The sequence below is a fragment of the Homo sapiens genome, chromosome 18 (assembly GCF_000001405.40).
Source record: "Homo sapiens chromosome 18, GRCh38.p14 Primary Assembly".
In the NCBI taxonomy this organism is placed as follows: Eukaryota; Metazoa; Chordata; class Mammalia; order Primates; family Hominidae; genus Homo; species Homo sapiens.
The window spans coordinates 39,958,602-39,985,160 of NC_000018.10; the positions used below are offsets into that span (position 1 = coordinate 39,958,602).

A 26,559-nucleotide genomic window follows, 5' to 3' on the forward strand; every position below is an offset into this window, starting at 1 on the left:
TAAGTCTCATGAGATCTGACGGTTTTATCAGGGATTTCTGCTTTTGCATCCTTCTCATTTTTCTCTTGCTGCCACCATATAAGAAGTGCCTTTTGCCTCCTTCCATGATTCTGAGGCCTCCACAGCCATGTGGAACTGTAAGTCCAATTAAACCTTTTTTTTTCTTTCCAGTCTCATGTATGTCTTTATCAACAGTGTGAAAATTGACTAATACAGATGATACAGACAGATATAGAGATACAGATATGGATGTAAATATATATGTGTGTGTGTGTGCATATATATAGTATAGAGCTTTTGTGAAGTAGTCTAGGATAGTTTGATGGTCCCTGGGGCATTTGAATAGGTTTTAGTTAGAATAATCGAAACATTGACTAAATTTAGCCATTTATTTTTTAAACTATCATGTGGGTGGATCTGTAAATCACATACAATGGAAGTAAAAGGATGATTCAGTGTGAAGGTGCCAAGTGGAATGCAGATCTATGTGCTGCATGGAACAGGAGCTGCCTAAGCTGCACCAAGCTCAGCCATGTGCCAGAATCAAGGCCTGAGCAGGCTCTCTGAGCTTTATTGTCAACTTTAAATGATAAGATAACAGCAGCTTCCTAGAAGATTGCTTTAAGAATTGCAGATTAATCATGTAAGTATCTCATACCTAATTAGAACTTATAAAGTAGTTGCAATTATTATTGTTGGAAACGACTCTCTCTATGCTTTAGTCATTTTTGAAGGTGTGTGCTTATGTCTGTACCTGTGTGTGTCTAGAAGGAGTCCTTTTCTACAAAATAGAGCATTTTATTCTTACTATCTTGTATAGTGAGGGTTATGTTATCCTCATTTCTATTGCTTCATTCCTCTTATCTATGCTTTTCAGCTTTTGACCATCATTGGGCCTCTCTGGCCACTTTAACAGAAGCCACTTTTAAATTTTGGGGCCATCAGAGGAACTTCATGAACTTTCATTTGGACTGTGGACTTTCAAAAAAGTTGCTGTTGTGTTTTCTGTTCTTCTCAGAAAAAAACAAATGTTTTAAGAGCATAAGAAATGCTGACATATTGTAGTGTTTCTGTGGGTTCACTGGCAAAAATGTGAGTAAAAGAGATTATACTCATGCTGGTATATTTATTAGGAAGAGAATATGTAGAAACCAAGAAGTACTTGTTTTAACATATACATTTGTGACAAGAGTTAAATTTGAGTTATTTTTGTCTTCTCTCCCAAATGGGGCACAACTAGAATGAGCTGGGGAAGACAGTTGTCACAAACGCACAGAATATAACTTTCAAGGGAGAAACTCAGATGTAGGTTTACTCAGTTCTGGCCTAATGTAGTCTGCATATCTGGCAGTTAGCCTGTCCCTGAGCTACATTTCCAAAACCTATTCCACTATGTAATCACCTGTAATTTATTTCCTGTCTTAAAGAAACCAGAAACCACTGCTAAGTATCAGTTGACTAATGCTGACTTAGCGTCTGATGTGTTCACTGTACTCTGCTGGGGCACTGGGAGCAAGACCCAGAACTATGAATATTTAAACTGATTTCAAGGGGTTTATAGCCAAGTTATGTAAAAGGACATACACCTTGGAATATTGTGAGGTATAAAATAAGGTTAGCTAACATCATTGGATATTTAATGTTTACTCTGTGCCAAGTTCTACTTTATGGGAGATTCTCACCACAACTCTTTGGTAAGTCGTATTATCATCCTCATTTTACAGATGGAGAATCTGAGAAACAAGCAGTTACTGAAAAATGTCCTAGGTCACATAAGTAGTGAATAGGCTTTCTAGGGTGTAAGGGCAAGAGATTTGGTTGAAGAGCATATGCTCTAGCCACTTTACACCAGGAAGAGACAATGCCTGCTTTAGGAGCCCAGAGTATTAGGTCCCTGTGAACTGGGTCCTCCACAAATGGCTTTGAGAAGGAAAAATTTATACTGGACTTTTAAGGATGAATAAGGTATGTTGAGATTTGAACTGGCACAGTAGGAGGGAGACAAGACCACCAATCAATTTGAGGGATAAAATGAGAAGAATATCTGGGTTCATTGTTTTGAAATCTGTCCACCCATTCCGTTATCTCTATTTCATATCTCCATCTCACTTTGATTCTGACTCTTAAGTCTAGTCACAGCAGCAGAATGAAAGTCTGACTCATGAGAATGATCTGTACTGCTATATGCTAAGAATGTGAGGTGGGTAGGAGAGTGTGTGCCCTATCTCTCATCATCCTGAGTGAAGAAACTGATTCCAGAGGAATTGGAATATGAAAAACTGAGACACTACAACTTTTACTTCTACCACACACAACTTCAATAATGTATGACTTATTTAATAAAACTTTTAATTGCATATCTTCCAAATACAAAATGAGAAAATGTTCTTATACAAAAAGAGTATTTTCAGGTACTTTATCAACTCTATAATGTGGGAGAGGAGTAGCGACTCCATTTAGAGTGGGTTTTTTACACTAAAAGTCATTCTCACCTATTTCAACATCTTTATTAAGAGTGTGGTCATGTTACCAAGTAAAAATTATAGAGTCTTTCCCATGCCCAAGATATCTGGTATAAAAAAATCTGTATAAAATAATAATACAAGTTTTTAAACCAGGAGGAAACCGCAGAGATAATGTTACTTATTATATTAACCAGGAAAAAGACTTCCCCAAATCATAGCTTTCATTGGTGGCAGGGACGTAATTGGAACAATCGTTTCTAAAAATATATTTTTTACTATATAGAGAGCTCATATGACATCTAATCCTGCATTCCTGGCACAATGACCCTGATTTCCATTTTTAGCTGGTATTGTTATTGACAAGGTATAGTCTTCAGCTATCCTCTAAACTCCTATAAAGACTTTGTCCTTGTATTTTCAGGTCACACAGCATCTAGCTGAGTATCTGGAGCCCAGCGCATTTGTAAAACTGATTGGTGGTGGTGGGGAATACCAGATGTAGCCAAATTACATGTCTTTGAAGAAGATGTGAAAATCGCCAGATTATTAATCTTGAGGCATGCAATGAATACTTTAAACCCGGAGGTTAGGGTATGGAAGAGAGTGAATTTGAACATTTACTTTAAAATTTGTGTGAACAAAGGAGAGTGAGTTTGAAACTTTAACCCTGACATCAAAATTAAATCTGTAGAAAATAAAACTTCCCATTAAACGAAACTCAAAATAGAAGTAAATAAATAAATACCAAGTTGGCATGAATACCCTTGCTAACAGAAGCTGCTGAATTTCCCACACCTCTTACAGTGATTAATCCCTTCCTACAGGCCAAAACCTAATTATAAACCATTCTAATTAGTCAGGAAATAGGACTACTATTCCTTGTTGAGAAAAAAAAAATGTATAGGAGGAAACACTACTACTGCATGAGAACTCCAGAATGAGGCAGGGGAAATTTAGGTGTTAACGCAAATCCGAGGTCTCATGCCATGAAGCTTATTTCCTTGCATCAGTTAACTACTGCCTATATATTTTTATGAGGCCTCTTCAGTTTATTTTGCTGCCTTAACTCCACTTAGTACCAGTTTCATTGTAGCAAGCCTTTAAACTTAAAGTAAGTGTTATGTAAAATATTATTTAGATTTTACATAAAATGTATCTTCAGAACTTTCAAGTGCTCTAGGGCAAAAAGGAGAAAATCTTCTAAGAAAAAAATCTTAATATTCCAGATATAATGAGTTTGTTTTACATTATCTTTCTTATTTTTCCCCCCTCTGGACTATTTTCACTTGGGTTCCTTTCATATCCCAGTTAGCAAAGGAATTGACCAGAACTAAGAACAGCCCTAGAGCAATAGCTAAAATTCTGCTGTGCTTGTCAGATACCGTCTGACCACCGATTACTGCCCGAGGGGAGTTTGTTTTCTTTATAAACTTTTTGGTGGGTTTTTATCGCCAGAAAAACAGCTTTTATTCCTCTCAGGAGAAACTTCAGGATTGTGTTGAGGAAAGTATGAGCTTTTGATATTTTATTATTATTTTAAATCATGAGTTTTGTGTGCTATGTTAAAGGGTGAAAGACAGGCCTTTTCATTAAATTGAAATAAGGAGAACATCATAATAATAGATGATACAAATGTGATCGACCTGCAAACTCGCCTCAGGCAAAGGTTTACATGAGTCATGATAGATACATGCAACAGGAATCTGTTGTTTCTCCTACATTTCACCTATGGAAAACATACCATTTCATCAATTCTTGGGATTAAGTAAGGTGTTATCAGTCAGTCTCAGAAGAAAACAGAATTCACCCCAGGTTCAGATGAAACTAATGAAGACATTTTTATAGAGGTGTGGATAGGTTTAGGGGGAAAAAAGAGTGAGGCGTTCAGATACTAGCAACAGTGAGAAGCCTCTACTATCCTCAGGGCCAAAGGATTTCAGGGAGGCAATAGTCCCAGTAGAGCCCATTGGCAACTGGAAATATGGAAGAAAGGGCTTGCTGTAGGAACACAGGGCAGGACAGACAAGTATAGAGAAGTGTGCAGTGGGTGGGAGGGCCAACGGAGAATAACCAACACTCGAGAAATTGATCTATGGATTTGCAGTAGTTCTGGAGAGATTTCTTTTGGTCTAGTTTATGCTTTAAAAAAAAAAACTAAAAAATATGCTCTCTGGCTTTGATGCTTTTTTTGTTTTGTTTTGTTTTTGTTTTGAGACAGTCTCACTCTGTTGCCCAGGCTGAAGTGCAGTGGCCGATCTTGGCTCACTGCAACCCCCGCCTCCCAAGTTCAAATGATTCTCCTGCCTCAACCTCCTGAGTAGCTGGGATTACAGGTGCACACCACCATGTATGGCTAATTTTTGTATTTTTTATTAGAGACGGGCTTTCACCATGTTGGTCAGGCTGGTCTCGAACTCCTTACCTCAGGTTATCCGCCCGCCTTGGCCTCCCAAAGTGCTGGGATTACAGGCGTAAGCCACTGCGCCCAGCCAAGACTTTAGATTACTGCTTTTGCTTTAGAGGGTCGACTCAAATTCTGTGTTTAGAGGGTCAACTCCATGTCTGTGGCTTCTCCCCCAAGGAGAATTATTTTCTCATCTAGAATATAAATTCCTTTAAGACTAGGAGGACTCAGTCATTGAGAACCCATTAAGTTGTGTATGAAGTAAAGTAACAAATACTCTGATTTGTAGTCTGGAATGCTGGTCATTATTTACACTAATAACCAATATTCATATTCTTCCTTCTAAGACATGGTAGGATTGCACTTCTCTCCTCTTTAGAAGTTAGGCAGGGATGTATTATTGCTCTGGCCAGTGAAATGTGATAGTAAATAATATCCGTCATGTGGAAGTAGAAGCCTTTATGGACCAGTGCCCCATTCCCATGTTCCCTTCCAGATTCTGAGCTATCCCAGATGGCAGAACTCAATTAGTGTGCCTTCTCTAATGAGTAGGGTATAGGACAAAGCCTCTCACTGATCCACGATGTACAACTTGGGTAGGTAAGGGGGAAATTGTTTTATTTAAAGCCTCTGCAGTTATGGATTATTTATTATTGCAACTTATACAATTATGATTAATCCAGAAGTTTATAGAAATGTCACTAACTAGTTTAATAAAACACTTTAAATCCCATTGGTTAAAAATAAAAATAAGACCATATCAAACAAGGCTACCAAAAATAGGGAACGAAAGCAGCCTATAAGACATACTGTAGGGGCTTCTTTCTAAGGAGATTAGTAAAAACAAATATATCAGTATAAACACAGATACGGCTGCACCTTAGTGTATATGTATAGAAAGAGAGAGGTAGGGGCCATGAGGGAATTTACTTGCCTGCAGTAGAAGTTTTGAGATAGAAAACTGTTCTGGAAGTATACACGCATAAGTAAAGCTGGCCTAGATTATCAAGTGAGCAGAGTTCATAAAACCCCAGTATCAAAGGATTGAGGAAGATCTTGAAAGGTCACTTGGTTTATTCACCTCTTTTCAAGGAGGATCACACCAAAACCATCGTGAAAAAAAAAAAAAAAAAAAAGAAGCTATTCTATTTTTAAGGCCATCTGTAGAAGAAGATTTTCCCTGGTCAGAACTGTTTTTCAGCTAGTATCAAACTTTCTATTTTGAGTGAAACGCCTCACTTACATTCAGAACACTAAATGCGTCACTCAACATCTGTATTCATTTCCTTGGGCTGCTGTAACAAATAATTACAAACTGTACAGAAATTTATTCTCTCACAGTTCTGGAGGCTAGAAGTCTAAAATCAAGATTTCAGTAGGGCCACGTTCCTTTTGAAAGCTCTAAGAGGCATCTTCCTCCCTCACCTCTTTGTAGTTTCTGATGGCTCCTGGCAATTCTTGGCTTCCTTGGCTTGCAACCATAGCTCTCCAAGCTCTGACTCTCTTGTCACATGGTTCTTCCCTGTGTGTCTTTCAGTGTGTCCTCTTTGTTTAAGGTCATCAGCCATTGGATTTAGGGCCAAATCTAATCCAGTTTGAACTTATCCTAACTTAACTAGTTACAACTTCAAAGACCCAGTTTCCAAATAAGCTCACATTCTGAGGTTTCTGGTAGACATAAAATTTTGGACAATACTGTTAAACCTACTACAGCATCCTTTATGACTTGTCCTGAAGCAGAAAACATCAATTTTTTTTAAAAAGAACTGTACCCTAAGTGTTTTTTCTTGCAGTCAATTCAAAATTTGTAGCTCATTTAATGGGGATGGCTTTCATTTTACTATTATTTTGATGGTTTAAATTAATGCAAAATTATTTTAAAATGTCATCATGAATATGATCTTTGTGCTGGTTTTTGGTGGGAAGAGAGAAACCAGCCTAAGATCCAGCACTGAACTTGCAAAAATAATAATTTTTTGACTCTAGCTGATTAAATGAATGAGATGAACACACTTGATGCACACAACATGTCAAGCTGTATTATGACGCAGTGGACAGTGTGGGGCTTTTTTAGCCATAAATACTGCGAAAGATGTGGACAGAGGCAATGCAGTATGCACTGAAGTTATCAGAAAGATTTTAAGGAGGAGAAAGAAGATGTAAAGGGTAGATAGGATTTTATGAAAGAACATATGTTGTATCTAGTTGAGAGAACTACAAAATAAATCAGTAAAACGGGGTAAGAAGCAGCTGTCCATAGAATTGACTGGCCACAGAGATCTGGCCATAGAAGAGCATTTTAAAATAGAATGGGGGGCTTTGATTTATAAAAGTGAGCCAGGACCTGCATGTAAGACTTTCAATGTCAAATTAAATTCAAGCACCATTCTAATGGTGCTGGGGAGGCCCTAAAATCTCTGGGCCCCAGAAAGACATGGTATAGAGGATATTGGGAGAAAGTGGCCTTGGTGACTGAGTGAAGGTTGTGTTTTAGGGATGGGAGTTTAAAGATTGTTGCAATGGGCCAGGCAAGTTTTGAGGGCTTGTTTCTTAATGAATAATGGGAAATCATAACATGACAGCCATCACATGAAAATTCTTGCTTAGGACAAGGGTGCTCCATAGAGAATATTCCACTGTGGGATTTATGTTGCTTTTCTAACAATGGTCTATAGAGAAGAACATTTTCCTTCTCCGTGAGCCCCTTCATTCCTCAGGACATGAGAAAACCACCGTCACCCTCAGTGTGTGACATCCACTGTTTTGGCTGCTCTCCACTTAACCTGAGTTTCATTTAAAAGATGAATAATAAAAAAAAGAACGTTCTCAGCCTTCACCTTTGGAAAAAAATCTCCTTATTCAGCAAAAGATAATGTAAGGTTGCCCTGTTAACTCAGCCTTGCAGAAAACATTCCTGTCAGTTGGCATGAGCTTTGTTCCTTTCACCTCAGGCAGGTGGTAAAGGCATTTTGCAAAAGAGGATTCCAAATTAGGTTAAGCACCAAAATAGGGAAATGACCCGGCTCACCCTGGTGGGGAGAGATTGAACTGCTGAAGTATATCCAAATTCACTCCTTTCAAGCCATGTTTCAGTGAGGTTTTGGGGAGAATAAAAATGGAAAAAATGGTCGACTGTGATGGCTTTCCAACTTTCTTTTAACAAGCCCTATCCCAGTGTTCTGAGGCTGGAGTACCCCACTAAATGATAATTTTACTTGCTGGTTTTTTTCCAACCACACAATCCTTTCTTTGAGCGTATCTTAATACCACTTTCTTCTGAAGGTGTTGGATGTCCTTTATCCCGGGGGCATGTGCACATAAGCAATGCCTCCTGGAGGTTGAAGCTTCTATAAGATACACAATGATGATATTATTTTCATGAAATACCAGATATCAGGGCAGGTCATAGGAGAGTTATAATAGGAAGAAAGTTTCTATTATCAAACTTTGCATCAGCCGATTATATAGAATCCTACCCAAACTAATTTTTAATGCAGGGAGGCTCTGCCCTTAAGCTCATAGGCCTGTCCCCTAATAGATTGTTGCCATGTTTAGGGAAGCAAACCATTTATCTTATGGTTCTCCTGTGGCTGATGTGCATTCACAGGATTCAGGGCCTGAGCGATAACCCTTTGTCCAGGGAATATTTATAAGAATGGTGTGTCTTCCTTTGATTAAAATGTCTCTCATCTTTCCCAAATCTACAAATATCCTGTTGACTCAGTGTGATACTCTGTCTCCTGGATTGTTTCTCCTTCTCTGAAAATGTTCCCTGGCCACTCCAGCTTTTATTGAGGCCTACTTGCCTCTAAATGTCTACAGCCACATTGAGCATCTAGCCATGTGTATATTTATTGAGGTGGTCTTTGCAAGGTATTTAATGTTTACTAAATTAATCAATGGAGTCCATGGAGAGAAATAATTCCTAGATAGGCTATTCAGAAAAAGATGAGTCTCTAAGTATGAGGCTTGAGTTTCTCTACTCATTTACAATATTGAAAGACATCAAAAGTTTTGTCCCAGTGTTTCTGATCTTCTTTGAGATGATGACATCACCTTTATCTAGACATCTGTAAAGAATGGGGGGAGAAGGATGTCTACTTCACAAAGATTGAAATAATTAATAAAAGTCTATGCTACGCTTATTTCAGTATTGACTTCTTCAGTGACACCACTGGGGAATATAGAAACATTTCATTTTCTATTGGGATCAGGAAAACCTTTCTACTTCTCTTTCATATTAGATCAAATAAAGGCACAAACTCTTTTGTGAAGGTGAAGGACAATTCTTCTCTATTTCTTGATAAGTCAAAGAATGAATAAATATTTTAAAAAGAATTTCCTTCCCCATTTTGGCCTCCTTATAGCATGACTAGCCAATGTTCAGAGAGCTGAAATCTCATTTGTGTAGGCCTGAAAAGACATATTATATTTTATTCTAATAAAGCTTTTTACTTTGCTCTTAGTTGCCAAGGTAGTATACAGGGAGGAGAGAGATTTCCATTAACTTAGCATCATCTTACTATTAAAACATTAAATCCCTCTCATTTCAAAATTTTGTAAAAAATATATCAGAGGACATTTTCAAAGTATGTGGCTTAGAATGTAGGAAAATAGACAACTTAAGTTCAGAAAACTTTTAATCAGCTCTTATTCTGGGACTAGACCCTTGATTTTGACTGAATCACTTCGGTCCTTTTGAGTCTCAGTTTCCTTATCTATCAGATAAACACTGGGTTGTGGGAGTGTTTTAAAGCTCAAAGGAAAGAACATATGTGAAAATTCTAAGAAAAATATAGGACGTGGTGTAACAGCTTTTTCCATTTCCATGACATTGTTATTTTTAGCAATATTTCTGTGTAAGAAACTGAACTGTTGAAATACTCTGATTACAGCACTAATTTATAAAAATAACTATGTATTTATTCAATAATACAATGAATACCTGTGAAGCCCTGGCCAACCCAGCAACTAGCACATTAAAAGTAACTTCTATCTTCCAGTGTTCCTCTTGACCACACCTGCCTGCTTCCACAACCCAGAGAAACTAAGAACTGGGAATTTATACCTATTTGTATACTATGCATATGTGAAATGTATTTGTAATATAAATTAACAAACATATGTATAAATATATATGTGTGTTTATATATCACACACACACACACACACAAACAGCTAAAGCTAAACATTCCTCAGTTATATTAAGTTAGTATTAGCTGTTGTTTTAACTTCTAGTTCCAATAAATTACTTTTTTACTGAATATTCTTAAGTAAGTTCATCAAAATTGTAGCATTTGACTTGAGTTTATTTTCACACATGTATACTATTCTATTGTGTGAATATACCACACACTATATGACTATTCTCATTTTGATGAATTTTTTTGTTGTTTTAATCTTCCGTAGATTGTTGCTATTACAAATGGTGTTGCTATAAATTTTGTTGTATACCTTTGGTGAACATGTGTAAGGATTTTCTTCTAGGTATTTACCAAGGAGTCAAATCATTGTGATAATAGGTTATATGAATATTCACTCTTAGATGATCATATCAAACTGCTTTCCAAAGTGGTTGTACCAGTTTACACTCAACACCAGAGTTTAAAAGAGCCTATTTGTATTTCAACATTTGGTATTATAGACTTGTTAATTTTTGCCAATCACATTGCATTAAATATAACCTTACTTTGGGTTTTATTCACTTAATTCAATATCACTAAAGACTTTGAGCATCTCTTCTTATATTTAATGATTATATGTGTTTCTTCATATATATTTATTTTAGTGGGAGTGCCATGTCATTTTTAGGCCTAGTGCTATATCTTAGTGCATTCAGTTAGAGTTACAAAAGACTGGGAACTCTTTTTCATTTCTTTGGATTCTCTCAAATAGTATCCAGAAAAGTGTTTTGCCAGCAGGAGTTTCCTCCATAAGATGAATGGCTTCTATGACTTCCTGTGTCTTCTCAATTGGAAAGCCTATAGGAAGATTTAAAGTTTATACGGTGCTTTGCTGGGCACAAAACAATGATAAATACAAATTACCTAATTCCTTCTTTTAGGAACTTGAAATCTTGAAGAGATAGTCACATTGATTCAAACCCTCACCGTTTTATCACTTCTTCATTTATTTTTCTACCTTCAAGTTTTGTTTCATTCTGGCCAAAATGAAGGCATGATGTAATTTACATTAATAACTCAAATATTTGAAATAATATTAACAAAAATTTTCAATATATTAATAACAGCCAAAATTTCAATAGTAAAGAAAATGTAAAAAAAATATTGATTTGGCATATCAGATAGGATTATCTCAGCAGGCAAACTTTTCAACTTCCCATAAAGGGACATAAAAGCACATAATGGGACTATATGCTTTTCAGATGCAGTCTCCGTCTGCCTACTTTCAAATCAGTGACTGAAGATGTATACCACATCCAGGATTCCTAAATTATACTTCATTTGAGGCTTTACAGAATCTAACTTCAAAGCTACTCTGAAGAGCTTTGTGGGTTACCCAACTTCAAAGGGTACTTGAGATTATTTAACATCATTAAACAGAGCAATCTAAGAGACAAAGACACAGGCTAAAGTCAAAGCAATTTTAAAGACACTATACATCATTGTCTTTGCTATTACTTTTCTTTTCAACTTACTTAAAACTGTCACTGTTTACCCATTCATATGCATGTCCAAAGTTTATGCGTGTTTTGGGGGAAACTTTGTACTCAAACCTTGGCCTTATCATTTCCTGAGATTTTTCTCATTTTGTCTTAAATGTTCCTTGATATTTCTGGCTCCAGGATATTGACTAAGCATGTGAATTCCTCTTTAAACAAATACAATAGCCTATTTCCAAAAGTCATACTATGAGGCACAGCTGTCACAACATCTGACAAATATTCACAGCCAAGGATATGACCTAGCAAGTCTGAATGCACTTTCTCATTTTTCTCATATTTTCACATTTATCTCTCCTTCATTCAGAAGCATTTGTCAATCTGCCTCTATCCATGGCAGCCCTTCTTATTTTAATGTTCTCACTCTTACCCACAAACTAAATTTACATTTCTTGCTGTTATAAATTTTATATTTTTGTGTGTGGAGAAACATTCCATCAAGAAGACTGAAGCCCAGTAAACTCCCAAAGACAAGACTTTCAGAAGGTAAAGCACTCCCTTCCTTTATAGACTAGCAAAGATGAGAACAGATAAAAATAAAAATAAATAAGAAAAGGTTTTACATCAGTCTGTGAAGTTACTCTGTCTATTCTCATCTCTCTATCAAAGAGTCCTGGTAGAGGATTGAGGATATCAATAAGCTCTATGGCTTGAGTCTAACTCTGCAAAGGTATTTTTGGTAATGTGAATTTATTGTGTATAGAATATAAAAACATAGGTACAATATGACACTCAAATTATATATATGTTATATATAATCATACAATTATATATATGTTTTATATAATCATACAATTATATATATGTTATATATAATCATACAATTATATATATGTTATATATAATCATACAATTATATATATGTTATATATAATCATACAATTACATATGTTATATATAATCATACAATTATATATATGTTATATATAATCATACAATTATATATGTTATATATAATCATACAATTATATATATGTTATATATAATCATACAATTATATATATGTTATATATAATCATACAATTATATATATGTTATATATAATCATACAATTATATATATGTTATATATAATCATACAATTATATATATGTTATATATAATCATACAATTATATATATGTTATATATAATCATACAATTATATATATGTTATATATAATCATACAATTATATATATGTTATATATAATCATACAATTATATATATGTTATATATAATCATACAATTATATATATGTTATATATAATCATACAATTATATATATGTTATATATAATTATACAATTATATATGTTATATATAATACAATTATATATGTTATATATAATTATACAATTATATATGTTATATATAATTATACAATTATATATGTTATATATAATTATACAATTATATATATGTTATATATAATCATACAATTACATATGTTATATATAATCATACAATTATATATATGTTATATATAATCATACAATTATATATGTTATATATAATCATACAATTATATATATGTTATATATAATCATACAATTATATATATGTTATATATAATCATACAATTATATATATGTTATATATAATCATACAATTATATATATGTTATATATAATCATACAATTATATATATGTTATATATAATCATACAATTATATATATGTTATATATAATCATACAATTATATATATGTTATATATAATCATACAATTATATATATGTTATATATAATCATACAATTATATATATGTTATATATAATCATACAATTATATATATGTTATATATAATCATACAATTATATATATGTTATATATAATTATACAATTATATATGTTATATATAATACAATTATATATGTTATATATAATTATACAATTATATATGTTATATATAATTATACAATTATATATGTTATATATAATTATACAATTATATATATGTTATATATAATTATACAATTATATATATGTTATATATAATTATATAATTATATATATGTTATATATAATTATACAATTATATATACACACACACACACACACATATGTATATATATTTAACTAGATTCCATTTTATATGTGTTTTTCAATTAGTTAAAATTCCGGAAATACAAAACAGAAAAATATCTTAAAGGTCATCTGCCCCATCCTCTATTGATAAGTAGAATGACCATATAATTTATTGTCCAAACATATGTACTCTTGGAAATGAAAAAGCATACTACTAATAATTAGGTAGATATAACAGGTATTAGCAGGAACTATGACAGGCAACGAAGGGTAAATGGTCATCCTAGTCTTAAAGATTGCATTAAGTAGTTTGGGCTCATGCATTGAAAGCGCTACACAACATCAGAAACCAGGTTTCCTAGTGTCTCGTTAAGAATACATTGTAACACATGAGTTAACTAGCTCGTGGTCTTTCAGTCTGAAATATGCATTGATCATTTTGCCCAAGGTCTGAAGACAAGTCACATCAAACCACTGACCTAAGAAAAATGGAATTAATGTTGCAACTGCATTCTCCTAACTTCTCACTGGACTTGAGATGGTAAAGGATTCTGACAGCATGCTTTCCCCTTGGGCAAACCAAACCGGGCTGACATGATCCACTTTGATTTGGCCAACTTGTCAATGAGAGGCATGATGACCTTCTGCACATATGTACTCCTCTCACAAACTCCCTGGGTGCAGAGGTTGTGTCCTGCATCTGATTCAGGGAGGAATGACCATTTGAGGTGGTTTTTCATCAATAGTTACCCTGGTTGCTCTATTTAGCACTCTGGTGTCTGCAAAACATGTTTGTTATTCTTGCTTATTTTGTCCTTAGTTTAGCATATACTGAACACCTGTTGGGTACAGAAATATGCTAGGGAATATTACATATATTACTGTGATTTATTGTGTATTAAGATTTTAATAATTTTTCTTCCAGGTGAGTCAGACAAATTTGTTTTGTATCTTACAGGCTGCTTGCTTCACTATGGGTCCTAAGGTTACACAGGAAGGCTTCTGCCAGACACTTTCTGCCAGGTTTCCAATGGTGGGAGAAAGATTTATTAAGATTGCTGTTTAAGAAATACTCCTCTAATATATGCATCTTCACTTACAAAAAAAAAAAGCAAAAAATGAAATTCCTGCTGTATTTCAGTCCTCCCATTTCAGAACAGTGAAGACATTCCAATTTGTTCAAATATACTTTACCAAAGGAAATTTGTAGAGGAAGATTCCAGAGTGAGTCTGGTTCTTATTGACAAATATCTGTTGACGAATTATATGGGTGGAGCCCTTCTCTAGGCCTTATAGGTCTTCTTGCTCAAGAGAAGATTAAAATCTGTGAGAAGGAATAATTCAAGGACACAAATGACTTTGTTGTAAGGATAAGGCAAGTTGTAGCATAATAAAACTCAAAAGATTATATTAGAAGTTTAAAGTAGTAAGGAGACAGAAACTTTTCATGGGGAAAATGATATTTAAGGTGGGATTTGAAGAAATGATAAAGTTGTGACTTAAATAGAAAGCAAACATTTTCTGGGTAGAAAAAAAAATAGTATGAGTTTCAGCATGGAGACAGGAAAATATCCAAAAGATTATGATTAGGTAATATACAAAGTTCACCTTAGCTGGAATTTGGGGACAAAAAAGAAATAATGCAAGATTAACAATAGCTCAGATGATTCTAAATTCCTTCTCAGAAGAAATCAAAAGGATACATATTAGTATATTCAAAACCAATGCTAATTTTTCATAAAAGACAACTTTTAAAATATGAGGCTTTGTTCTTTTTAAAGCTCTGTTACGCACATTATTTCACATAATTTTCATAATGTATCTGTGCTATAGATAAGGCAGTTACTATTTCCATTTTATGGGTTGGATAACTGAGATAAACAGAGGTTTATTACTAACCTGGTGGGCAGGTAGGTACCCTCTCTTCCCTTCTCTCTCCCACCAGAAGCAAAGTGCTTGGTCAAAGAGCAATACCTTTCCACACGCAGGAGGTTTTCTTTCCTGTTGAGATTTTATTTGAGTTTTGAAAGTGGGACAATGTTTTTGTCAGGAAACTTCAGTGGATGAAACCACTGCTTCAACCCTGCTAATAAGGCTGCTGCACTCAAACTGTGAGCAAAACCTTGCCAACTCCAAACTGCTGCTGCTCTGCAATCTCATCAGTCCACCTGCCGTGCACCTTGCGCTTTAGTCCCAACTCCTAGGCCCAATCAACTGAATATCTGCTTTGGCTTTGGGTCTTGGCCTCTGATAACTGTCACTGCTGCCTACTGTCCTCATTGCCATCTCCAGGCCCAGCATCCAGACCCCTAATGCAACTGACCAGCTTCTGGGCTGGCAGACACCATTGTGCAGATGGGGTCAGTATGAATGTCCAAGTGGCAAATCAAAGTAAATGCAGATGGGAACACAAGATGTAGATCAGAGCCATGAATCCAAATAAGATGGGGGTTTAAAGAGATTAAAACTGCTAATTAGTGACCTTGGAAACATTCTCATTGGCTAAATAATAAATAAAAATTCATCTGAGTTGGTTTTACTAGTAAATTCAATTCAGGGACTATGCTGAGATGCAGTGGATTCAGCTGGTTTTTATCCCTGAGGGTCATATGCAGGTATATGAAACAGTAGGTCCATGCATTATTTGTATGCGATTAGCATGCAATTTACTCTCTTCTACCTAGACTCTGCGGTCTATTCTCAGTCTCTTTTCAAGTAAAATTTCTATATTTTTTTTCTTTCAGGATGATCCTATTTATCTCTTCTCAAAGTTTTTTCCTTTATTCCACTGAAATCTTAACAGAAATACTCAGAGAGAAAAATATATCACAGAATCAGCATCCTACACAGCAAACCTCCTAGATTTAAATCAGTGAGAACTATGAATGTTCTGAGCTTTCTGAATTGCCTCTTCCCTGAATCTATTCAGAGAACATCCATAAAAGGAACTGCTAGTCTCCTGGAGCAGAAAATATACTACTTTTGAATAGGAATATCTAGGTTTGCGTTCTGGTTCCCCATTTCAAGCAAGTGAGTGAACTTCTCTGAGTTTCATTGTCCTTGGTAATTAAATGACAGGAACAGTGATTGTCTTGTGGTCTCCACATGGTGATTGTTAGGATCAAATGAGACAGGACATGCACACGGTGAATACTGATACTGTATATAATTTTTTGGTATTTTGCTCATTTGGAATTTTGTCTTGATTTTTATTTTTAGAAATATTGCATTAAAATATTCATATTGTTTACTGAGTTTTTTCCTGTCCCTTAAGTTTTGTTCTTGAGGTGAATGCTTCACTGGCATCATTTTAGTTTTCAGACTGGGCAAGTATTATACGATGGTACCATAGTAAAGGTTTTAGCCAGCCAGGTACTGCTGGAGAAGAATAGATGAAGAGAACTACCCAATGCATGGGATATCTAAGTTAGTTTAGAGGAATCACGCTTGGACATTCAGAAAGAAACATTGACTCTATACCATTGTTAACTCTGAATCTCTCTGTGAGAAATTACTATTCCCCTTGGTCTCCCATTGCCCATGAGAATTCAGTGCCAACTCCTTAGCCTAACTTCCAAAATCCATTATCCCTCTGCTGTTCACTTAGTATTAATTCTTAAATCTACAATCGATCTGTCATTTCAGTTAATCATGACTACTATTTAGACAGCCTACTTTTATTTCAGTTTCCAATTTTCAACTCCCTTGTTCTTCCTTCCCAGAATTCTGTTTTCCTATTCAGTAGAGAAACATTTATCAGCCACAAACTTCAAATGAGTCCTTACTTTTCTGATAGGACTTCTCAGTCAGTTTCAACCAAAGATGACCTCCCTTCATAAGATACATGGTGAGCACTGCCTCACTGTATAAAAACTAAGTATATTAAGTTTCTATCTCTGCTTAATGAATTTCTGTCTATATTCTGCTTTATTTATTTATTTTTCTCCAATCCACTGCTAAAATTTCAAAGAGTGAAGGACATACATTTAAATTCCCCCCAGTAAGTTGTTACCAGTATTATACAAAATTAAAATACTTAATAAATATGGAAATGCACTTCCTCCCTGTATATATGCATTTAGTCACTCACATATACGCTTTTTCTCTGTTTGTAAAGGTTCATAGCACTCCTATATTTCAAGTCATATAATTCATATCATATAATTTCTATCATTTAATTTAAGGTATGGTAATTTCTTGTCCTAAAATACTTCTAGTAGTTTCTTGTGAATAAGTTGATTTCACTAAGTGGATGATTAGCTTTTCTGTGCAGGAAATTTGATGTCCTTTTCTTTTCTGTCATCTCCCAGGAATATCTACTGAAAACCTTTAGAATTTCTGACAACATGCAGCTCAAACTCCTGTTAATTATGGCTGACATAGAAAACATACTTATATGTATTTTACATATATTTATTTGTTTATATAACATATACATTTTACATATGCATAGAATACAAATGTATAAAAATTTCCATTTCCTCTTTGTTTTGGGTTGTGGAAACAGGCAGGTATGGTCAAGAGAGACACTGGAAGATGGAAGTTACTTCAGTGTTCCAGTTGCTGGTGTAGCCAGGGCTTCACAGGTATGAATTATGAAGCAGGATATTTCCCTAACCCCTCCTTGGGACTCGCAACAGGGCTACCTTGTTTACTCAGCCTGCTGCTCTCAACTCCTTGTGTGAGGGAGTGCACGAGAGAATAAGGTGGGAACTGGAGTGCATGAGCATTGGAACTGGCTGGCTGTTTCAGTGTGCCTGCAGGACTCAACTCCACTCATTCAGACCCTCTGTGTTCCACCCCTCGCGGGAGGGAGAACGCCGGTGAGCGGGTGCAGGGACTGTTGCAAACACTTTTGGGCGCCAGCAGAAGTGAATTTGTGAGCCCCGTGGCAGTGTCTAGGTGGGGGTGCCTGTGACCTCCAAAGCCCCAGAGGGAATATTACAGTGCTCTTTTAGCTCTGCCATCTGCAGAGGGCTTAAGTGTTAGCACCTCAGTTGGCCTTCTGCTTTTTCACGTGAGGTGGCTGCTTTTTGCCAGCAAGAGCAAAGGGCCAGTGTGACAGCTTTTTGTATCCACACTTGTGGCTCCCAAGCTCTTGTCCAGCACCCAGGAAAAATGAGGTCGCACAAACAAATTGAAGGATGGTAAATGCAGGGGATTTTATTGCTGATGAAGGTGGCTCTCAGTGGGAAGTGGAGCTGAAAAGGGGATGGGGTGGGTAGATAATCTTCCCCTGAATTCTGGCCATATCCAGCAGATTCCTCTCCAAAGTTATGCCATCAAGATGTCCCTCTGAAGTCAAGCCACTTCTCTCCAACGTTCAGATGTAGTCGTTCCATCTTCTGGCTGAGTCTGGGGTTTTCATAGGCACAGGATGGGATGGGGTGGGGTCATGGGTGGTTTAGGAAAAAGCAGCATTTGAGCAGGAAAACAGGGATATAAGTTCTTACTTCGGGCTGTGGTTTCACGCTTTTCAGCTTGAGGGTTGGGTTTCATCAGAAACCTGCTCTTTTCTGCCTTGAATTTCTCTGCCCCCATCCCTATAAATTATATTACTGAATAAATACATAAATACTTTTATTATAGTTCTATAATTGGAGCACGTCAACAGTTCAGCTCAAAACATGAAAATATTACTAAATATTGCAATGCCATGGAAATGACAAGAGCTGTTACCCAATGTCATATTTTTTCCAGAATTTGTCACAGGTGGTTTCCTTTGACCCTTGAAACACTTCCAGGACCCAGTTTTTATCTTATAGGTGAGGAAACTGAACTCCAAAAGAACTGAAGTGACTCAATTAAAGTCAAAGGACTATTCCCAGAATAAGAGCTGATTAAAAGTTTTCTGAAGTTCATTTTCCAACACCTTCAAGCCATCTCTGAAGAAAACCTCCTAGGTTGTTTTTTATGAAACTTTGAATTAAGAAGGGTTTAATGTTTTGATAACTATGGCTCATGCAGAAAACAAAAACAAAAATTGTCATTAACTTTTTCACAGCTATTATATGCAAAGTTCATCTATGTTTGAGGAACTTATCTTTTAAACATGATTAGATATTTAGAAGTTAATCAACTGAAAATTTAAAATTCACTGAGAATTTTCTTGAACCATGTATATAGTTGCTCAATGAATATTATTGGTTAAAATAATTTTCTGACATAGACAAGGTATTGACTGGAAACCTTAGAAAGATATATTTTTCCTTTATATTTACTTCTTTTTAATGTTCTATTTACAGGCTATAAACTCACAGAAAATATTTTGAAATTTTATAACACTCATAGTAAAAACTATCTCATAAGCTATGCTCACTTTTGTCCAAATTTTACCCAGAAGAAAAAGCATGGGCGTGGTGGGCATTGGTAAAGTTCATCTGTAATTAAACTTCAGAAAATATATTACTTTCAAGCCAGAAAATGATCTCAAAAACAGAATAATTCAGGGGCTGTGGTGATGGGGGCCAATTTGTCAAGCCTATCATTGTTCCCAGGCATTATTTGTGTCAGGTTTATCTCTGACTTCCTTACAAATCATTTTTTTTCTGACTCCATGAATTCCTGTGAAATTACTCTTCCAGAAAGAAAATATGATTTTCTAAAATTAGGTGATAATCTCAGTTTAACACCAAATATGAAGAGAAAAGGACTAAAAGAGAAATTCTCTTGAAAAAAATTTACTTCCACTGCACTATCTTAAAGTATGCAACTTTTAATTGAAGTTTTCCTCCCCTAATGCATTCACCTTTCATATTAGTGTTCTCCTCTTTCTTTATCTTTTCAGGCAAACTATTAACTGAACCAGTGGTGTGCTGGGTGTACTGGCTTAAGAGCCCCATTTTTTAAATTGTCAGGAATTTTGAAAGCCAGTTATTAAACAAAGCTATTATTAAAAATAAAATTCCATGTACTTATTAAATGCATTATATTAAAAACCAAAAAAAAATGGATAACACATGTCCTCCTGTATATTTTACTATATTGACTATTATCTTTGCTTTTGACGATACTTTTGTTTATTCTGTCTGCAGCGTGGAAGTATGGCATCATGATGTCTACTGCACATCTATTCCCAACCCCATATTCAGTTGTTTCATGTAGTCTCTTGAAATCTATGGAAACTAGAAAACACTACAAATAAAGCCTTGATTTATTGTTTTGTTGATTGTCTTGACTTAAGAAACTGATAGACAATGTGTTATTAATGCAGATTAAACTTAAAAATGTTTACCTCAGTGGCCGTTATACTGTGAATACCACAAAAACTGAGCAAATATTTTTCTAGTATTTGAAAAGTATTATCCAATTCAGCAAATAATGTCACTTTTAAGTGAATAAAGTATGGGCATGCCTTCATTGCTTTAGTTTCTTGTTACTTGTAAACACACACAAGTATAGCAACCTAACATTTATGCTTAAACTATACTCAGTAGTCAATTACAATCATAGATTAGCTTTGGCCATAAGAGATCAGCAAAAATCAACAAAGCATATCAATTGGCTATATGAAATTTTCAATGTGCATTGTATGTTTTGTTATTATTTTAAAATTGTGTTATATTTTTTAACTTTAAAACTTACAACACAAATATGTAAGTATATGTGTATATACACATGCATACACACACTCACAATTGAGGGTTTTTGGCGTAGAAGGAGACAAACCAGAGGTTAAACATTTGCCAGCACATCACTGCTGATAACTAAGCTGCTACTGTATAACAAATACCTGTTGAGGAATATGTGTCCCACACACTGCCCATTTATTTTGATTTGGAATAGTGAATTCTTTATGTCACAAAAGCCTTCATATTATAGAGGTTTCTAGGTGAAAACATATTTTTTAAAGTGCCTATCATTGATGGTAAGATTGGAGACCCTTTTTAGATACCCTTAAATCAGATCTGATAAAATTTGACTATCCATATGTTTTTTATCCAGTAACAGAGGATCAGTAACAAGTTTATAATTTGCTGGAATTTCTTGAACAGCAAACAAAAGACAGTTTGAGTCCTGGGTTAGTTTATATTTATATTTTAACCATTGATAACTCATTTTACTTCTCTGAAAATGCAAAATAAAGAAATACACTATTTTACTAGTTCTCAGACATAACTGCATATCAAAATCACCTCCCAAACTGTTCAGATCAAGGGGTTCTGTCCCTCTAATCAGATCTATGAAAACAGAATTTCTGTAAGTGGAACCAACAAATTGGATCATAGGATGTTTATGCCAGATGTAGAACCCCTGTACCTCTAAAAGCCTTGCAGGTCATGAAGTTATAATGGTAAACTGGCAGTAAGGATGTGGATGCAACACATTTATAGGAATGGATTGTCAATAATTTACCCATTTCCTGGCTCATATTTGTTTCTTTGCATATATACTTCTGGTATATATGCTGTGACCTCTTACTGTATTTCATATTCTAGTATTTCCCCCATTATATAATCAATGCTGCTATAAATAATTATTAACCACTTTTAAATTAAAAAATTATATATGTCAGTATTTCTAAAATCTTATGCATAAAATATTTTGAGAAATTGTGACAAATCTTTACTAAAACCAAGATTTTCTAAGGCTGAGACAGTCACTTTATCAACAGCTTGGTAATTATATGAATAAAAGAACACTAGTTTAGATAAATTTGTTAGTATACTCTGGTTATTTCTTATTTTCTTTCTTTCTTTATTTTTGGAATGTTCAGTACTCTAATCATTCTAATGATTTTTTAAAAATTATTAAAATTCTGAAAATATGTATTAATGTTCCCTTAGGTCCTATGATATAATTTTTATAATTCATTATAATAACAAAGACATAAATTACTGTAAAATTCTCATATATATCTCACATAAATTTTCACACATATTGAGTTTAATTTTTTAACAATATGTAGACAATTTTTTTTGTTATTTTATGAAAAGTAACTGAATCTTAGAAGACATTATAGACAATCAGTTATGGAGATAAACTCAAAGATAGGTAGGTATCCATGTTCAATATCACATGCATTTTCATAATTATAAGTTATAATTTTAGAATAAAAATATATAGGTGAAATGACAATTATTCTACCTGGTTGTTAACTGTTTCCTTAGAGAGTTGAATCCTATCTGCTTAAATGTTCTCTTTGGAAATCTTTTGGACTTTTTCCATCAGAATGCAAGAATTGCTTTTCTTTTTTTTAAATATGGGAAATCTTGGGTTTACATTTTTATTTTTATATGGTTATCAAGAAATATAAGGAAAAAGACAGGCGCTATTGCATTTTATTATCTCATTGGCTAAAATGTCTGACACGTCTTACAAATTGCCTGAAATTCTTGCCATCTGCTGCTGCAAACTTCATCTAAATATAAGTTACAGTAAATATATTTCTTGAAAAAAAATTTTAACAACATAGACTTTGGTTATTTTATTGTTGTTTAATGACTTTTCTGCCATTTAAGTTTTCTGGCTTCCAAAGAGATGTCTAATGACATCAAGAATGATTTCTGTGGAAGTGACTATGAAATTCAAGTTTCCATTCTTCTGAAAATATGATTTAGTGGAGATATTCAAGTGTCTGCCATTCTAAGGTGACTGAATTTGGATGTGGAATATTAAGATAAGTTATAATAGTTCATTGGCTCATCAAACAGAAAAATAAACTTGCCCTGTTCCATTTGTGGTTTATGGTTAGCCTTGGCTTGATCTTTCAATTTTTCATTTACTCCTTCAATGAATATATGAAGAACAGCGATATTTGGTGAAATTAAAAAGTTGGTTTATATGGTTGTTCTATACAGTAGTTTTAAGCAGAAGAATTCTGCTTTTTCCATGCAAGTCTTTGACTCCCTGTCCCTGCTAGTATGTAGTTTTTGATGTACATTACAGGAGGCTCAGGCTTCCCTGCCTTGTAACAGACCTGAAGTTTTCAGAGGGGATGTTAGAAAACACGATAACAAATAATGGGTGAACTGGATTAGTCCTGCTTCCTAAAACCTGGAATCTGCTTTGATCTGGAACACTGGGTTATTCTTGGCTTCTGTAGCTTTTGCTACACTGGCTCCTGCCCCTATTTTCTACATACCTCAAAGATTTCCACTGGAGTTGCTGCCTTGTATTGAAACACAGTGAACTTGATTCACTTCCAGACATCTGAGTTGGCTTCCTACAGGTCTTCCTCTTGTCTTAATTTAAACATAGACTTATTACCCAGAACTCTAATTTTACCTATTTATTTAAATATTGTCCCTTGTGTTATTTTCTTCTATGAGTATGAATTACTTCCTTCATGAACTAAGGAACTCTAGATTATCATGGTGATCCTCTTTTCCCCTAGCTCTTTAAATAAGAACTGCAAGCTTGACAGCTATCTTTAATAGGAAAAAGAGTGGAAACTACATTTCTTTCTTTTCTTTTCTTTTTTTCTTTTTCTGTTTGTTGTTGTTGTTGTTTTGAGATGGAGTTTTGCTCTTGTTGCCCAGGCTGGAGTGCAGTGGCACAATCTCGGCTCACTGCAACCTCCACCTCCCAGGTTCAAGTGATTTTCCTGCCTCAGCCTCCTGAGTAGCTGGGATTACAGGCATCTGCCACCATGCCTAGCTAATTTTTCATATTTTTAGTAGAGACGGGGTTTCATTATGTTGGCCAGGCTGGTCTTGAACTCCTGACCTCAGGTGATCCACCCACCTCGGCCTCCCAAAGTGCTGGGATTACAGGTGTGAGCCACCGCACCCCGCCAGGAACTACATTTCTTAAAATCTGTGAGTACAAAAGGCAAGGCAGAAAGGTATAAAATCTCAGTCTTTGGCAAGACTGAGAAATGGAAGAAGGAAGAAGACTAAAAATGGAAAAGACTAAAAATGGAAGAAGGAAGAGAAGGAGGGGGAGAGAAGAAGGCTGTTGGGGGAGGGTGGGGAAATAATTTCTGAAAATGATTATTATTTTAAAACCAAACTAAGAGTTTCATTTTCAGGAATACATAAATAAGCACCTATCAGAACAGCCTTTCCACAGGTGATAGCTATAAATTCTGGAGGCAAAGAAATACTTATTTGAAGACACTGAATGGAGATGAAAAACCAGCAGATGCTAGAAGGAAGTCAAGACTGAAAAAAAATACATTTGAAAGTATACTGGGTAAGAGTCTCATTTTTCCAGAATTCTATCCTGGGGACTGCCCCAGTCTGCACTGTGTAGTAAAGCTAAAACTCTGATAGCACACTCACAATTTTACTGGCCTGAAGAACCAGAAGATAGAGTTTGTGGCAACTACAGCCACTGGAAAGAGAAAGTAGGGAGTATGAGAAAGGAGATAGTCAGAGCGGGAGAGATCTAAATTCTATAAATGAACCATTCCTGAATCTCTATCTTACCTCTGAACCACACATATGTTAATCTGACTCCATGTCTCTTCTTGTTAAACATAAAAGCATGGAATTGAGGTTTGAATGCCATCCAAAAGATAGTTTTCAATTTAAATTCAACTGTAATAATAAAAGTGTCAATTCATAGAAAAGAAATTATAATCATAAATACATATGAACCTAATAATAGAGCTTCAAAATTCATGAAGCAAAAATGGATGGAATTCTGGAGAGAAATAATCAGTTTTGTAGCAACTCTCTCTTAGGAACTGATGAAACAACAAAACCAAAAAATCAGTAAACAACTAGATGACCTGAACAATACTATCAAACTCCTGACGTAATTTGTAACGATAAGTTTAGGGCAGATGATATATATACCAACAAAGGCCATATGCTAGACAAAAAAACTCCAAAGATTTCACTAAATTTAATATATATATTTCCTACAGGATATATTTTCTGACCTGAATGAAGTTAAATAAAAAAGTAATTGTTTACTGTATCTACAAAAATGGTATGTATTAAAAAATTAAAAATAAACTACTAAATAATACATGAGTTTTAAAAAAAGAACTGGGTGCAGTGGCTCACGCCTGTAATCCCAGCACTTTGAGAGGCTGAGGCGGGGGGATCACGAGGTCAGGAGATCAAGACCATCCTGGCTAACAGGGTGAAACCCTGTCTCTACTAAAAATACAAAAAATTAGCCGGGTGTGGTGGCGGGAGCCTGTAGTCCCAGCTAATTGGGAGGCTGAGGCAGGAGAATGGTGTGAACTCGGGCGGCAGAGCTTGCAGTGAGCCGAGATTGAGCCACTGCACTCCAGCCTGGGGGACAGAGTAAGACTGTCTAAAAAAATAAATAAATACCTAAATAAATAAGAATAAAAGAGAAAATGGTGACAATATTTCCAACTGAATTATAAAAAAACACAAAATAGCAACATGTGTGGGTTGCAGGTTATCTAGGGCTTTGCTTTAAATGCTTAGATTAGCAAAATAAAAACATGTCTACATTCAACACCCTAAAGTTTCAACTTAAGAAGCTAGAAAACAAAGAGCTAAGCAATCCTTAATTGAGCAAATGGAAGAAAATAATAAATATATAAGAAGTCCATGAAATAAAAAAGCCCCAAATATATGGGCACTTAATAAAGCAACAGTTGATTCTTTAAAAATATTAATAAAATTCAATAATAAAATGAAAAAAAGAAAGAACACAAATTGCCACTATCAGTAATGAGAGCAAGAGCATATGTATGTAAACTACAGGTCACGAAGGATAATAAGGAATCATCAAGAACAACTTTCCACCAAGAAAACCAACAACTTTGATAAACAGAAATATTTCTCAAAAAATGATGAAAGTCAATTCAAGATGAAAAAACTTTGTATATGTAAATCAATTTAAAGATTGCATTTAATTATCAAAATTTGATAAAATTTAACACCATGTCATGATAAAAACTCTAAGTGAACTAGGAGTGAAATGTAACTTCCTCTACCTGATGAAAATTATCTAAGAAAAATCTATAGCAATATCATACTAATGGTGGAATAGTAAATGCTTTTCTCCTAAGATCTGGAATAAGGCAAGGATGAGGAGAGGTTTCTTACTACCTCTAGTCTTTATTGCACTG

The 26,559-nt window shown here is 34.8% G+C and overlaps 1 long non-coding RNA gene across 1 annotated transcript, besides 1 other annotated feature; it reads left to right on the forward strand.

Annotated features, from left to right (window-relative positions):
- Positions 1 to 508: 508 nt before the first annotated feature.
- On the forward strand, positions 509 to 19,321 carry LOC124904349 (uncharacterized). The gene is made up of 3 exons (XR_007066451.1): positions 509 to 643; positions 18,064 to 18,142; positions 19,257 to 19,321. It is a non-coding gene; the product is annotated as an uncharacterized LOC124904349 (long non-coding RNA).
- Positions 11,023 to 11,997: an enhancer, noted in NCBI's record as "OCT4-NANOG hESC enhancer chr18:37549588-37550562 (GRCh37/hg19 assembly coordinates)". NCBI's record gives its function as "activates a minimal SCP1, AML or CMV promoter by ChIP-STARR-seq in naive H9 embryonic stem cells {active_cell/tissue: H9 hESC(naive)}" and the evidence as "EXISTENCE:reporter gene assay evidence [ECO:0000049][PMID:30033119]".
- Positions 19,322 to 26,559: the final 7,238 nt, after the last annotated feature.